Here is a 17241-nt window from a genome sequence, read left to right as displayed (position 1 = left end):
GTAGCTTTTGTAAAGAAGGACTTTTTCCTGTATATTTGTCCTGCAGTATTGTTTGGGTAGTTGCTTTGGCTTTGTTTCTATATTAGTACAGTAATGTAGTCTCCATATGATCTTTGGCTGTAATTCGTGTCAGCAGTGTCTGCAAGTACCTCAGTGGTCTCTGCTGTGAGTTTTTGTAGAATGAATCTCATGTCTTTGGTGTTGATAGGGGCCTCTAGGTGGAACAGTTCTCAGGCCTTGGGTGTTGGGTGCTCATTGGGTATGGTGGCTTTGCCAGTTGTGGGGTGGAATTGCCAGTGGTGGCTGTTGCCATATGGGCCCATCATTGGTCCCTACAGGTATGTGGGGTGCATTTCTGCTTCACCAGTTATGGGAATGGGATTGCTGGCAGTGGCTGGCAGCTAGTTCTTAAACCCTAGGGACTGCATGCACCAGTGCCCTTGGTCTTGGAGGTGGCCTCCCTGCTGTGCTAGATTGCTTGTTCCTTTAGGTCTACTATATCAGCTCAGGTTCTGGAGTTTTGGCTTTACTGCTCTGTGTAGCTGAGGTTGTGGTGTTGGACCCTTTTATTTGATTGTGGCATGATTACAGTGGGACCCTTCAGATATGGAAATACCAGGTCTGTTGAACCCCATGGCAGCATGTATTTCAGCATTGGCTCGGTTCTCAAAATGGTGCCATGCTGTAGCAGCTTGGGTCACAGGGAGTGGGGGGACCCAGTGTGTGTTCCTTCTCTGGAGCAATGTAACCATGTGGACTCCAAGCAGCTCCCTGTACCGGATTCAGGGCCTGTTAGGACTCTAGGGCTCTTCTGTAGCTAGGTTTACACATGTCCACAGTGGTATTAGGGATTGCTAAGGAACTCCTACCTACCATTTCTCACACAATGGGGAGTCTCTCTTGGTTCTGAGCCAATCCTGGCTGGGTGCTTTGCTTTCTTCTCTATGCTGCCATCTCAAGTCTCCATGATTAAGTGGATTTTTTTTTTCTCTTTCATGTGAATTCTGTTGTTCTCCCTTAGAAACTCTTACCTGAAGTGCAGTTATTTACTTGTTATTTTGGGCCTTTGTGGAAGAGTGTTGGTCCTCTAGTCAGTCATCTTAATGATGTCTTCCTCATGTTTTTTTGATAGTAACCATCCTGATAGGTGTGAGGTAGTAAGTATCTCATTGTAGTTTTGATTTGCATCTTTCTAATGATTAGTGATGTCGAGCATCTTTTAATATGCATCTTTTTTGAAAAACAGCTAGTCAAGTTTTTTGTCCATTTAAAAATTTTATTTTTTATTCTTGTTTAGTTTTTCTCTGTATATTCTGGATATTAATGCCTTATCAGATACATGATTTGCAAATATTTTCTCCTATTCTGTAGGGTTTTACTCTGTTGATAAGTATCTTTTGTTGCAGAAAAATTTATTTTCATGGAGTTCATTTTGTCTGTTTTTTTTTGTTGTTGTTGTTATTGCCCTATGCCTTTCGTGTCATATCCAAGAAATCATTATCAAATCAAATTCCATGAAGCCTTTCCCCCATCTTCTAAGAGTTTATAGTTTTAGGTTGCACATTTAGTCCTTTGATCTATTTTAAATTAATTTTCCTATATAAAGAGAGGTCCAAGTTCATTCTTTTATATGTATGTATCCAGTTTTCCCAACACTGTTTGTTGACAACATTGCCCTTTCTTCATTGAATGACCTTGGTACTCTTGTCAAAAATCATTTGACCGTATATGGGAGGGTTTATTTACTCATTCTGTATTCTATTCCAGTTGCTTATATGTTGGTCTTTATGTCAGTGTCACACTATTTTGATTATTATAACTTTGCAATAAATTTTGAAATAAGGAAGTATGAGTTCTCTAGTTTTGTTCTTCAGGATTATTTCATCTACTTGGGTTGCCTTGAGATTCCATACGAATTTTAGGATAGATTTTTCTATTTCTGTGCAAAATATTGGGATTTTGATAGCAATTGCATTGATTCTGTAGATTATTTTTGGTAGTATTGACATCTCAACAATATTGAATCTTTCAATTTATGAACATGGGATGTGTTTCCATTTATTTATATCTTCTTTAATTTCTGTTAGCAGCGTCTTTTAGTTTTCTAAGTATTTCACCTCCTTGGTTCAGTTAATTTTTATGTATTCTTTTTGATGCTATTGTAAATGGAATTATTTTCTTCATTTTCCTTTTCATAGTATTCATTGTTAGTGTATAGAGATGCAGCTAATTTTTGTTTGTTGGCTTTGTATTCAGCTACTTTGCTGAATTCATTGTCTTTCTCTTGCCTAATAGCTCTGGCTAGAACTTCCAGTTTCATGTCAAATGGAAGTGGCAAAAGTGGGAGTACTTGGTTTATTCCTGATCTTAAAGGAAAACATTTCAGTCTCTCACCATTGCTTATGATACTCACTGTGGCTTTTTCATATATGGCTTTATTATGTTGAGGTAGTGTCCTTCTATTCCGAGTTTGTTAGTTTGTTTTATCATGAAAGGGTGTTGAATTTTGTCAAATGCTTTTTCTGCATCAGTTGAGATGATCATGCATTTTTTTCTTCATTCTTTTAATATGGTGTATTATTAGGTTGGTGCAAAAGTAATTGTGGTTTTGGACCATGAATTTTAAATCAGTGTAACTAGGCTCAAACACATCTTTATTAATCAAAATAGGAACCATTACAGTCAACACATTTTTGCCAATGAGAAATAAGTTTATTCTTGTAGTATAAAAATCCATGCTTCGGGATTCTACAAACTTTTTTTCTTTTTTTTTTTTTTTTTGAGACAGAGTCTTGCTCTTGTCACCCAGGCTGGAGTGCAGTGGCGCAATCTTGGCTCACTGCAAGTTCCACCTCCTGGGTTCAGCGATTCTCCTGCCTCAGCCTCCCGAGTAGCTGGGATTATAGGCACCCACCACCACACCTAGCTAATTTTTGTATTTTTAGTAGAGACGGTGTTTCACTATGTTGGCCAGGCTGGTCTTGAACTCCTGATCTCAGGTGATCCACCCACCTCGGCCTCCCAAAGTGCTGGGATTACAAGTGTGAGCCACCACACCTGGTGGGATTAGACAAACACTTAGCATTTTCTGCATCCTGCTCGTTGTGGAAGCATTTTCCCTGCAAAAAGTTGTTGAGATGCTTAAAGAAGTCATAGTCAGTTGGCAAGAGGTCAGGTGACTATGGCAGATGAGGCAAAACTTTGTAGTGCAGTTCGTTCCACTTTTGACGCATTGGTTGTGTGGCATACAGTTGGACATTGTCGTAGAGAAGAATTGGACCCTTTCTGTTGATCAGTGCCGGCTGCGGGCATTGCAGTTTTCAATGCATCTCATCGATTTGCTGAGCATACTTATCAAATGTAATGGTTTCCCTGGGATTCAGAAAGCTGTAGTAGATCAGACCGGCAGCAGACCACCAAACAGTGACCATGAGCCTTTTTGGCACAAGTTTGGCTTCGGGAAGTGCTCTGGAGCTTCTTCTCCATCCAGCCACTGAGGTGGTCATTGCCGGTAGTCGTATGAAATCCACTTTTTGTCGCATGTCACAATCTGCTTGAGAAATAGTTTGTTGTTGCATAGAATAAGAGAAGACTACACTTCAAAATGACGATATTTTAAATTTTCACTCAGTTCATGAGACACCCACTTATCTAGCTTTTTCACCTTTCCGAATTGCTTCAAATGCCAAATGACCATAAAATGGTTGACATTGAGTTCTTTGGCAGCTTCTTGTGTAGTTGTAGAGGATCAGCTCCAATGATTGCTCTCAACTGGTCATTGTCAACTTCTGACGGCTGGCCACTATGCTCCTCCTTTTGAAAAGTAGACCTCTTTTTTTTAAATTTTTTTTCTGTTTCAATGCTTATTTCCCCTTTGTTATTTTTTGTTCTATACGTGTGCTTTCTTTCTTTCTTGGTCAAGTCAGCCACTGCTTTGTGTATATATATATATTTTTTTTGTGGTAAAATATACATAAAATTTACCATTTTAACTATTTTAAAACATACAGTTCAGTACATTCATTTAAATTAGGATTTTGGTTTATTTATTAGATCGACTGGTTTCCCATTTTCTAACTCATTAATTTCTGCTTTTATCTTCTGGTTCTTTGCCCTTAAAAAGTTTCTATAGTTTTATTGTTATCATTTAATGTACCTAAAATAAAATTCATCCATTTTGTATACAGTTGTACAATCCTCACCATAATAAAAATATGGAATAGTTTCATCACCCCAAAAGTTTCTTTATGTCTCTTTATAGTTGACCTCCTTTCCTGAGTCCCAACATTAGGCAACCCGTGACTTATCCATGCTCTGAGTGTATCAGTAGCCCATGTCTTTTTATTGCTGATTAGTATTCATTGTATAAACGTAATATGATTTATTTATTCTTTTGTTGGACAAATGTTGGGTTGTTTTTAGTTGGGGGCTATTATGAATAATGCTGCTGTGAACATTCATTTACAAGTCTTTGTGTGGAAATATGTTTTTATTTCTCCTTGTTAAATACCTAGAAATGGGATTACTAAGTCATATGTTAAGTATATATTTAATTTTATAACATACAGAAATACTGTTTTCCAATGTGGAAACACTTGAGAAGTTTTTTCATTCCAACTAGCAATATATGAGGATTTTGTTTGTTTTACATCCCTACTGACACTTGTTATTTTCAGTCTTAATAATAATTCTAATTGGATATGTTGTAACATGTCACCTGTGGTCTTAATTTTATTGTCTCTGTGACTAGTGGTGGTTAGCATCTTTTTGTGTGCTTATAAGCTACTTTTGTGAAGTTTCTGTTCAAATATTTTGGCCACTTTTTACATTCAGAAGTTATCTTATTGATTTATAATAGTTATTTATGTGTTACGCATAAAAGCTCTTTCTTAGATACATATTTTACAGATATTTTCTCCTTATCTATGACTTTCCTTTTCATTTACTTGTGTGTGTATGTGTGTGTGTGTGTATGTGTGTGTGTGTGTGTGTATGTGTATATATATATATATATATTTGTTTATTTTTTGATACAGGATCTTGCTCTGTTGCCCAGGCTGGAGTGCCGTGGTGCCATCTCAGCTCACTGCAACCTCTGCCTCTTGGGCTCAAGCGATCCTCCCACCTCAGCCTCCTGAGTAGCTGGGACTACAGGTGCATGGCACCGTGCCTGGCTAAGTTTTATATTTTTAGCAGAGACAAGGTTTCTCCATGTTTCCCAGACTGGTCTTGAACTCCTGAGTGGTGTTTTTTCCTGTGTTTTCACACCACAACACAGAAAACTTCTGTGACCAAATGTATGGATTTCTACCCATCAACAAGCAAGCATTCAGTTCTGCAGTGGACAGCAGTCTGACATCTTCTAATCTAATTTGATTCTACTGCTCTCTATATGGAGATAGCATCAGATCCTGCGGGTTGAAGGCTTGGTCCCACAAGATTGCCACCATTTCAGACACCAGTCTCACTTTCAGGACTCTGGAACTTCTGATCGACCAGGTTTTTAAGTTGGGGTTTCCATAACCTTCTCTTTCAGCTAAATTTACTAGAGTGGTTCACAAGCTTAAGGAAACACTTTATGTTTCCCAGGTTATTGAAGAGGATTTTTTTTTTTTTTTTGAGACGGCGTCTCGCTCTGTCACCCAGGCTGGAGTGCAATGGTGTGATCTCAGCTCACTGCGGATACAAATAAACAGCTAGATGAAGAAATAATAGGCCAGGTGCGGTGGCCCACGCCTATAATCCCAGCATTTTGGGAAGCTGAGGTGGGTGGATCACCTGAGGTCAGGAGTTTGAGACCAGCCTGACCAACATAGTGAAACCCCGTCTCTACTAAAAATACAAAAAAAATTAGTTGGGCGTGGTGGCAGGTGCCTGTAATCCCAGCTACTCGGGAGGCTGAGGCAGGAGACTTGCTTGAACCTGGGAGGCAGAGGTTGCAGTGAGCCGAGATTGGCCATTGCACTCCAGCCTGGGCAGCAGAGCAAGACCCCGTCTCAAAAAAACAATAAGAAAGAGAAATAATAGGGTGAGATCTCAAGGGTCCAGAGCTCAGGAGCTTCTGTTCCTGTGAAGTTGGAGTGTGCCATTCTCCTAGCACATGGGTGAGTTCTTGTTTACCTTCATGTAATCCTCCATGAGTTCAGCTGTCTGGAGGCTTGCGGTACCCTGTCCTCTTGAGTCTTTTTTGGAGACTTCATTGGATAAACATGATTGAAGAATGGACAATCGTATGGAAATCTTATTGGACAAAAAGGGCATGATCTAATACTAATAGACTGTGCAGAGAATTGTAACAAGTCCTGTGCATTTAGATTCTTCTTGGCCCCTCTGTGTAGCATTATTTCCTCCTGGATAAGGAAGGGGCAGGACCCCTTCAGAAATGCGGGTCTTATGACCTGCTGTCGGGTAAGGTAATTCAGAGGATTTTTTTATGACCAGTTCCAAGACAGAAAGATGGGGGAAGATTGGAGTATATTTTTAGTGTGTGTGGCCTGCCTTGGAGAGAAAAAGGCGCAGGTAAAAGGAGGACAGAAGGTCAGAGAGAGATTCTGTTTTCTGAGGCCCAGAGCACCCCAGTATTATAACCAAAGACTGTCTTTCGCCTTTATCACTCTGAAGCTGTTCTGAAGCTGCCTCCCGAGCCATAAACAAAGGGCCTAATACGGTAACAAAGATACATGTATTGTTTTAGTCACTTAGGAAATGTGGACAAGGGCTATGGAAGTTACGAGCCAGGAACCATGAATGTAAACCCATATGTATATGTAAACCAATATATATACATCATAATACTACACCACTTTATCAATTTTTTTCTTGTTTGTATTTTTTGTGTTCTCTTCAAGAAGTCTTTGCCTAATTCTGTGTTAAAAAGATATTTGTTTTCTTCTAAAAGATTAATATTTGGTTTTTACCTTTAGGTTTTAAGGTCTAATTCATCTTAACTTTTATGTGGTGTAAGGTAATGGCACACATATGCTTTTTATTTTCATGTAGGTATCCAGTTGTTCCAGCACCATTTTTTGAAGACTATCTTTTCCCTCACTGAATTACAGGTGTGAGTCTATTTCTGGACTCTATTCTATTTTACTGATCTTGTCTTTACACCAGTATCATACCATTTTGATTACTGTAGCTTTATAGTAAGTTTGGTTCAGGTAGTGCACGTCCTCTACCTGGTTCTTTTTTGTCTAAATTCTTTTGGCTTTTCTAGGTCCTTTGCCTTTCAAATATTAATTTTTTAATCAGTTTTTTATCTTTTTAAATTCTTGTTAAAATTTTAATTGGGATTGTATTGGATTTTTAGGTCAATTTGAGGAGAATTGTTACCTTAACAATATTGAGTCTTCCAATCCATGAATATCATACATCTCTCCATTTATTTAGGTTTCATTTCTTTCATCAGTGTGTTGCAGTTTTCATTGTATATATCATGTTCATCTTTGATTCAATTTTATTTCTAAATATGGTATAAATGGAGTTCATTTGACTTCTTAATTGTTCGTTGCATATAGAAATATAGTTTACTTTTATGTATTGATCTTGAATCCTGTGACTTTACTAAAGTCACATATTTTCTAATAGCTGCTTTGTTGATTTCTTAGAGTTTTCTAAGGTCATGTTGTATACCTTGGGCTTTCTTTTAGTTTACTTTGTTCATTTGGTTGTTTTTGAGTTGAGAATTTAATTTTACTACAGTTTATTCTTTCATTCTTATTGGTAAGAGTATTTAGTGCTAATAATTTTCTTCTCATCACTGCTTTACGTGTATCCCATAAATTATATAGTGTTTTAATTATTATTTTTAAAGAAATTCACTAATTTTAATTTGCATTTTTCTTTCTGCCAAAGAGTTGTTTAACAGAAGATGTAGTAGTTTGCTAAGTCTGCCATAATAAAATACCACAGACTGGGTGATCAAACAACAGGAATTAATTTTCTTACAGTTTTGGAGACTAGAAGTCATAGATTAAGGTATTGCCTGGCTTGGTTTCTCCTAAGACCTCTCTTCTTGACTTGCAGGTAGCCACCTTCTTCCCACTTTGTCCTCACATGGCCTTTTCTCTGTGCCTTTGCATCCCCTCTTGTCTATCCTTTTTGTAAGGACACTAGTCATATTGGATTAGGGCCCACCCATATGACTTTAACCTTAATTGTCTCTTTAAAGGCCCTATCTCGAAATGTAGTCATATCTTGAAGGAACATGTTTCAGTCTATAACAGAAGGTTTTTTAATTTCCAGGTAGGAGAACCTTTTTAAAAAGTTAATTTCGGCTGGGCGCGGTGGCTCACGCCTGTAATCCCAGCACTTTGGGAGGCCGAGGCGGGTGGATCATGAGGTCAGGAGATCGAGACCATCCTGGCTAACAAGGTGAAACCCCGTCTCTACTAAAAAAAAATACAAAAAATTAGCCGGGCGCGGTGGCGGGCGCCTGTAGTCCCAGCTACTCGGGAGGCTGAGGCAGGAGAATGGCGTGAACCCGGGAAGCGGAGCTTGCAGTGAGCCGAGATTGCGCCACTGCAGTCCGCAGTCCGGCCTGGGCGACAGAGCGAGACTCCGTCTCAAAAAAAAAAAAAAAAAAAAAAAAAAAAAAGTTAATTTCTAGCTTTATTGCATTGTGATCACAATATTGTTTGTACTCTTTCTGCTTTGTGGAACACTCTGATGTTTCTTTGTAACCTAATCTATCAAGGGTAGGACTAGGGTAAAGCAATTGAGGCACCCAGGGTGCAAAAAATTTAAGGCGACAGTCTCACGGTGCTGACCCTGCACTTGCAGGAGTCTTAGAATGGGTGTCTTCTTAAGTTCGCATTCTGGACATGTCACATGCCCAGCGACTATAGAACTATAGTCACTTAGTCCCATAGTATATGTCAGTTATTGTGTTACGTAAACACATGGAGTCTTATAAGAGTATGAAGTTCTATATATATATATATATATGAAGTTCTATATATATATACATACACACACAGACATACATACACACATATGTGTCTGTACACATAGGATCTGCCTTGTTAACTGCGATGTTTAGGTCTTCTGTATACTTGCTTATTTTTTGTCCACTTGATTTGTCTTGTACAAAGAATGATATATTAAAGTCTCCTATTATTACTGTGTTTCTGTATGTGACTCTTTGTATATCTTGTAGTTTTTGTTTCATAAAGGTGAGTTTCATGGTATTTGGTACAGAATATAAATATTCATAGCAGTTCTATTTTAAGTGTGAATTGTAGCGTTTAGCATTAAAAATTGCTTTTTTTGTCTTTTTTTTTTGCTTGACTTGTCTGATACCATCACCACTTCTGTTTTCATATAGTTTCCATTTGCCTGGTATACTTTTATCCTCTTATTTTTAAATTTTCTGAATCGTTTTGCTTTTTAAATGTGTGTTTTATATGTAGCGTTTAGTTGGGTCTTGTTTTGTGGGCCAAATTTTAATAAATTAAACATTTTATTTTAATGGGCGAATTAAGTACATTCACATGCAGTGAGCCCTTGCCTGCAAAGATGTGCAGGCGGGAATGGGAGAGATCACTTGCTGGGATTTGGTATTTTTTCCTTCATTTTACTTAGTTACTTTGAGGTTTTGGGCATTTTCTGTCTGCCAGTTATGCTAAGGGTATGGTTTTGTGTGGCTTTATTTGTTCTCTTTGCTTTTTCTGTATTGTTTTTGCAGAATATATGGATAACACAGAGCTAGACATCTGCTGTTATCCTCAACACTTGGAAATGCTTTATGTCTGCTTTTCAAATTCTAATATCTTAGTGACGTCTCTAATTATATAAAGTTTGAGTGGCTTTTAAAAATCATGTTCATTAAGTGGTAGGCTATGTTTTGAGACAGAGTTCTTGATCTGCATTACTTAGGAAAGAATTACTTCAGGCAGAGGTATACTTATTACTTACTTAGGTTTTATAACTTTATTTAAATTGTTAGTGGCTGTGATTCTAAAAGCATGAATCTGTAATAGATTTTAAGAACCAATCTTGTCTGTCCTTTTGCTTTTAGATGGGTACATTTTTTAGGACATATTCAAGACAGGTCGTTTTTAAATCTCTCTTTGACAGTCTCCAGAAAGTAGGGGTAGACCCTCCCCAGGCATCCTACTCTAATGTTTTATCCTATGATAATCCCACAGTTTGGCCAGTTAGAATCTTTTCTGTTAGAATTTAAGCCTGTTTCTCCTGCTTTGGGTTTCTGTTGCCATAGTGATAAAATGTTCAGCATTCTGTCATTACTTGAACACAATAATGAACTTGACCCTTAGGTTTTGTTTTGTTTTGTTTTTTAGTTTTTTGCTATATAAAACAGCTTTCATTCCTTTAGCTTTTCTTAAATGTGAATAATTTTCTATTCTGTTAGTCACATTGATAATTTTTCTTTGATTCCTCTGGAGTTTCACTTACAATGTGTAAATGACCTCAACTTATTTTAAAATAAAGACATAGTAACCAACATAAAATCTAGCAGGATTAAATTCACACGATTTGCATGGCTTTTTTTTTTTAATGTTCAACAATTGTGGTATTTTTTCCTTGACAGTTATGATTTACTGATTTATAAGTCCAGCTACATCAACCAGGTCTATTTTGATCATTCATTAAAATGGTCATAATTGCAGCACCTCCTATTTAGATAACCCGTGACAGATTGGAGACTTATCTGTGAAGCAAAAGGTCTTACTAAGGAAATGGAAAGTATAAATCATGCAAAGCAGAAATATCCATTTATTTACAAATAATATATATCTGTGATAAGTAGATATTAATCTATTACATATTAATCACTGCTTTGACAGATCCTTTATTAATTATATACCAGTCTTTTCTTTTGATGAAAGTGTTTTTTTTTTACCACTAGCTTATCATAGTGCCAAGAGTAATAAAAATTATTTTTATAAAAGTACTGTATTTCAAAAGGCTGCTCCGCTGCACATTTATTCAATTTGCAAATTAAAACCATGTAAAAATTAAAGGAGTTTAAATATAATAGAATATGTAGTCAACTTTTGGTTATGACAGCAACGCAACTCCAACTAATGCAAGCAAACAAAAGGGACTTTCTTGGTTTACACAATTGTGGGAAAGATAAGGGTTTTGCTGGTTTCAGGGACACCTGGATCTAGGAACTCAAATGCAATTAGATAATAGTGACTTTTCTCCTCCTTTTCTTTTATTCCTCCTCTCTTATTTTCTCTCTCCTCTCTTATTATCTCTCTCGTTTGTCTGCTGTCCTATCTCTGTGATGCTGGGAACATATGTTGAAGCCAAGAGGACAAAGTTCTTGTTAGCAAACTCAAGTTTAAAAAGTCTAGAGTCGAGGCTGGGCGTGGTGGCTCACGCCTGTGATCCCAGCACTTTGGGAGGCCGAGGCGGGTGGAACACCTGAGGTCAGGCATTTGAGACCAGCCTGGCCAACTTGGTTAAACCCCATCTCTACTGAAAATACAAAAATTAGTGGGGTGTGGTGGCAGCCACCTATAGTCCCAGCTACTCAGGAGGCTGAGGCAGGAGAATTGCGTGAACCTGGGAGGCGGAGGTTACAGTGAGCCAAGATTGTGCCACTGCACTCCAGCCTGGGTGACAGAGTGAGACTCTGTCTTAAAAAAAAAAAAAAAAAATCTAGAGACAAGTTTGGGTCTAGTTCACATGCTCATCCCTGGACCTACCACTGCGACCGTGGTATCAGGCACTCTGGCTCAGCCAAGGTTATATGCCCATGTCTCTGTGTGGAGTGGGTGAAGGAGGAGGAAGTAAATGATATGCAGTTTGATATAATAGCAAATAACCAAGGGGAATAGCAATAACCAAGGGAAAGGGAAGCTGAACATTTATGATATCCTGTAGTCAATACCCCCTTAATTTATTTTTTGCATGGCTTAAAGCCAGGGCTCTTATTTCCCATTTGGGGCTTTCTGTTTTTTTCTTGAGCTTTTAATGAACGTTTACATTTCATCAGTTTGGATTTCTTTGCTGCCAGTGTTGGATATTTGCTTTTTTAAAAACAAACCAAAAAACTATCATTTAATATATCCACCTTTCTACTTAGACTCCATCTTGAAAAGAATTATATTGGCCCATTGGACACATTTTCTCCCAAGAATTTAAACTGTGAAGTAAGGGATGAAAGGATATGTGTCAATGTTTGAAGGACCAGGCAGGGCTGTGGCATGTCTTTGCCTGTGATTCCTATCAATTATTGTATCCTGGTTTCAGTTTTCTAGTTCTCTTTTGAGTGGGTTCTTATATTCTTTCAGGAAAGTTTATTTTTGCTAATAATGGCCAGTGTCAATTTCCAGTGCTCACAAGCAAGAACCATGCTTTCAGAAGGTTGGTATAAGAAGGCTACTGCCATTCTCATGAGACTTGTAGGACTCTTTGACAGTAGAGAAATCACAGTAGAAAAATACAACTTCTATTGTTTGCCCTGTATGTTGCTTCCCTTTGATAGCAGGGACTCACATTAAATGAAGCCAAGAAGTTACATTAGAGCCTTTGCTGCCCAATATGATATTACTAGTCACAGATGACTGTTGAAACCTAAATTTAAATTAGAATTTTAAAAAATTAAAATTCAGTTTCTTCAGTCACATGAAGTACATTTCAAGTGTGCACTAGCAACATGTTGCTAGTGACTATCATATTGGAAGGCACAGATTGTAGAATATTTCCACCATCAAAGAAAGTTCTATCAGACAACACTGTTGGAGTATAAACTCAAGGGTAGGCATTCTGTCCTTGTTATTTTCTGATGTATCCACAACACTTAGAATGGGCTTAGCATGTATAGGTACTCAATAAATATTTGTTGAATGTCGAAATAGCATATATTGGGAGGCCAAGGCGGGCAGATTACCTGAGGTCGGGAGTTCAAGACCAGCCTGCCCAACATGGAGAAACTCCGTCTCTACTAAAAATACAAAAAATTAGCCGGGCGTGGTGGTGGATGCCTGTAATCCCAGCTACTTGAGAGGCTGAGGCAGGAGAATCACTTGAACCCAGGAGGCGGAGGTTGCGGTGAGCTGAGATCACACCATTGCACTCCAGCCTGGGCAACAAGAGTGAAACTCCATCTCTAAAAAAAGAAAAAAAAAAAAAGAAATAGTATATATCAGTATATCAGCTGCCTGCCACAGAAGACCTAGACCATGATCCTTACGGTTGACTTCCCTATACTTTGAAGGGAACTTGAAATAGTTCCATCTTAATGTTATTCCAAAGTTTCCATTTAAACTTATTTATAGCTACATTTTCTGTTGTAACTTGGCCCTCCAGTTCACCTACTATTTCTGCCTTCATAATTACTTCAAAAGTATAAAGTACTTGATCTCATAGTTAACTTTTCCCCCAACTTACTCATCCTTCACCCTCTGATTTCTCCCTATCACCTACTCATTAAAACTTTTAACAGTTTCCACTGTAGCCTCTGGAATCCCTATTCTGATACCAATAACTTTTTTTGCAATCTCAACATTTTTTTAATGCCTCTCCCCCTGCTGAAAACTGCTTTCTTCCTCTCATGGCATATAACCTGGAATGCCTTTTAAGTAGAAATTACTTTTCCTTCCTCTCTCCTGCAACAAGAGACCAAGAAGAGAAATGAGCATTTGTAAGCCCCGTTTGTGCTTCCAGTTCATTGTTTGAGTATGGTTAAAGTGATTTTTTTCTTTGATATTTGTGGCATCCAGTTTTATACCTGTCTTTTATCTCTTGCAGTTAATGACCTACAGTGTATTCCTTAACAGTCGCTGAGGACTTTGATATCTGGCTCAACTTTTTTCTGTTTTCTGTTTCTCTTACCATCATTCTTGGTGACTATGTATTCATATTGTTGAACTACCCAACACCTTAGCCTTACAGTTTATTCTATCTGCACTCTGGCATTCTTTTATCTTTATTCTACTTTAGCATCTTGTACACCTAGACGCTTCTTGGACCTTGTCGTCACCTAGAACTGATCACTTCAAAGACATAAATATCTTTTCTTTCTCTTATCCATGCTCCTGTCACTGAAGATACTGAAATTAGCAGTCTTTGGACTTCTCTTTTTCTTCCAGCCTATTAACCTGGCTCCCTTGCTTCCTTTTCAGCTTGGAAACTGTTCGATGTTCTTACTTGTACATAAGCTAAGGATATGAATTTTCTCAACTTCTTGCCATCTTATAATTCCGGTACCTTCATCCATTCTCTCCTCCCTTTCTATTTTGAAAATGTCCTTTTCCCCTTTACTTCTTAAGTGAACAGTGCTTTTAATCCCATCTCTCTACTTCCTCTATACTCTTCGTCACCTGTATCTTTAATTTCTCTATCTCGGACTCTTATTTTTCCTTCAAGATCTAGTTCAAATTGCATCTCTTTTATGTAGCCTTAACTTATCCTCTAATGAAAGTTAATTGCAGTTTTTTCTGTTCCTTGTACGTCTGTTATAAGGTATATTTTCTTTTGACTTACTGTGACACACCTTGAGTATTCAAAACCTAATAAAAAGAGATACTGTACTTTACTCCTAAATTTACAGCACTGTCTTTTGAAACTATCTGCCTTTTTGAACTTTAATACCATTAGTCTTATTCCTATCTTATTTATCTTAAGATTCATTATCCCATAGAATCCTAAATGTAATGATCTTAAATCATGGACTAATTTTCTCCAAAAAAAAATGAGTTTTAGATTCTAACCCAGTACTGCTTCAACAAAATGACCTGAAGGAAGGTCTTGTTGTATATCATCTTCTATAGTCTACCACAATGGTGCTCTTACTTAGTTCATATTTTCATTTAGTTGTTTTCCCCATCCTTTCATATTTTAATGAATTTTCAGATACTCTACCATTGGTTTCTTTGGCTTCAGCTTTTGTATGTAGGGCACTATTGTTTCTCTTCATGTCTGTGTAACCTATATAGAAAGCATTAGGCCATAACTTTCTTAACTGGGTCATGTTTCTTGTTAATTTACCAATTGTATCCAGATTCTCAACTGGAGCTAGGATATACTTAGGGCCTAAGTTTTCTAACTGTGGACCTGAGCTGGGACCCACAGTGTTCTCTGTTCCATTTTCATCTTCATGATTTTGTGGAAAGAAACCTTTATAAGTCAGTAACCTAAAAGCCCCAAGTTAGCCACCCTGCTACCTGAGAGGCTGAGGCAGGAGGATTGCTTAAGCCAAAGAGTTTGAGCCCAGCCTAGGCAATATAGTGAGACCACATCTCTTATTTAAAAAAAAAAAAAGAAGGCACCCAGTTGATAACATTCATAAACATTTAATGGAGGAAGTGCACAGAAAGTTTGAATGAGTAATCATGTAGCTAGAATTATGAAATAAGAATGTGACTGGTACTGACGGTGGAGCAAAAGGAAAAGGACTGGCCCTCTTTAGATTTATCGTTTCTGGCATTTGTATGTAAACGTCTCAGGAAGCAATGGGTCATATCTTCAGGTTTTTTATGTTATATTATCCAATCATCTCACACATTTAAACAGCTAATCCATGATTTGGGTTGGTTCGTTCAGTCTGCCAACAAATGTTTATTGAGTCCTTATTGTGTTTAAAGCACAGACCTAGGGTCTTGAGAGTGTTGTCTAGATAAACACATTCTACTTGGGCAGATAAGACATGCTAATAATACCAAGCTATAAATAGGTGCCAAGTGAATTATATTTGAGATAGGCGTTTGAAGAGTTTTGAAAGGGAGGAGGCTGAAGGGCCTATCCTGCCAAACCTAATTAGTGTAATGTCTTCCTCATGAGGTTACTCATTTGGTCACTAGAGCTGCTCTGCTTTTTAAGGCTCTGGCTGTAGATGTATTATTCCCTTTGAAGAGTCTGCAAATGTGTAAGTATTCATTCATCTCAGGGATGAAAAGCTCCATAAGATATTTTATAGAATACAGGATGGTGTGTTGTATTAGTTTTCTTTTAAATCTGTAGCCTTGTTAGAAGGAAAATGAAGTAGCGTGTGTCTGAAAGAATTTTGCAAATTGTAAAATACTATATGGATGTAAGTTGGCCTCTCCTAAACTAGACTACTTTCTGATACCTTAGCAACACATTCTATAATTTTCCATGAAAGGCCACTTTTTCAGGCTGTTGTTTATGTATATCAAAATCCTACCTGTCAGGTTTTTATCCATGTAGCGTTCCCCAGTACCCCTGGACAGACTTGATTTCTTATCCTCTCTATGCCCCTAGTTTGTAGATTTTCCTATCACAATAGCAGTAATTTGTTTTACATTTTTGTTATACGTGAACACAACCTAGTTTCTTGAAGTCTCAATCTTTGGTTGTGTTTGTGCTCTGGTGTCAAACAGGCATTCAATAAAATGACTCTTTAATTCAGTGAAATAAATGAATCATGGATTCTTAATAATGCCTTTTGTTGGGTTGTGATTTTTAGGTTAAAACTTCAGCAACAAATTGTGACTATTGAAAATGCAGAGAAGGAAAAAAATGAAAATTCTGACCTAAAACAGGTATGATTTTAGCGAAGATTTTCCTTTTATTTTTTCAAGTGCTTCTTTAAATTTATGTTTTGCAAATTTTAAAAAAATTTTGCCATCAGTATTTTTAGAATCTAACCACAATTGGTAACATATTGTTGGAGGTGATATGTAAAGATAAAATGTTTTAAAATGTTTAAACTTCTATACTTTAATAAGCTTCTTTGGCTAACTGCTATTATTCTTAAGATATATATATTTATTTATTAAATGCTGTGGCCCATGATAATTTTTAATTACAGTTATAAGGACAGTATTTTAATATTCAGAATTTTAAAAACTCAATAGAAATATCATCCAGGTTTTAAGTTACTTGTGTGATTGACTTGTAACTTTATATCATGAGGTATTTTTTGCTATATCCCTATGAAATCCAAGATTTGTATTTATGGAAGGAAATTTGTGTTTATAATTAAAGTTATTTGGGTTCAGGAAAGATTTGTATAAAGTTGGGTAAAACATGGAAGAGTGATCTTTTCTGAATTCTATTTTCTTTTTTGTTGTTGTTTTTTTCCCTATAAATTATGAAGTAGGATTCCATTTTTAGAATTCATGCTCATATGCGAGTTGGTACTGCTTTTCATGTGCAGTTATGGTTTCTAAGTCTTAACTAGATGGACATAACGTTTGATACTCAGAAGTTATTTAGTATCATTGGCATTTGGGCTTTCTGTCATGCTATGCATATGGAGAGGTATTAAGCTCTTTGAAGGTTGCTTATTCAAGCAGCTGTAAT

At 37.1% G+C, this 17241-nt stretch overlaps 1 protein-coding gene across 29 annotated transcripts in view; it reads left to right on the top strand.

The window, feature by feature from the left end:
* The window catches only part of CEP83 (centrosomal protein 83), a 194793-nt gene that overhangs the window by 108388 nt on the left and 69164 nt on the right, over positions 1–17241 (top strand). For all 29 annotated transcript variants that reach the window (XR_007063082.1, XR_007063081.1, XR_007063083.1 and 26 more), the window contains one exon: positions 16403–16478. Coding sequence is in view for 22 of the 29 variants with exons in the window: in XM_047428923.1 (XP_047284879.1) it covers positions 16403–16478 (76 nt within the window). In the remaining 7 variants the exon portion in view is untranslated. The remainder of the gene's footprint in view (positions 1–16402; positions 16479–17241) is intronic.

The sequence above is a fragment of the Homo sapiens genome, chromosome 12, assembly GCF_000001405.40.
Source record: "Homo sapiens chromosome 12, GRCh38.p14 Primary Assembly".
NCBI lineage: Eukaryota > Metazoa > Chordata > Mammalia > Primates > Hominidae > Homo > Homo sapiens.
Note: the sequence above shows the minus strand (reverse complement) of the source record. Positions and strands in the feature narration are given on the sequence as shown.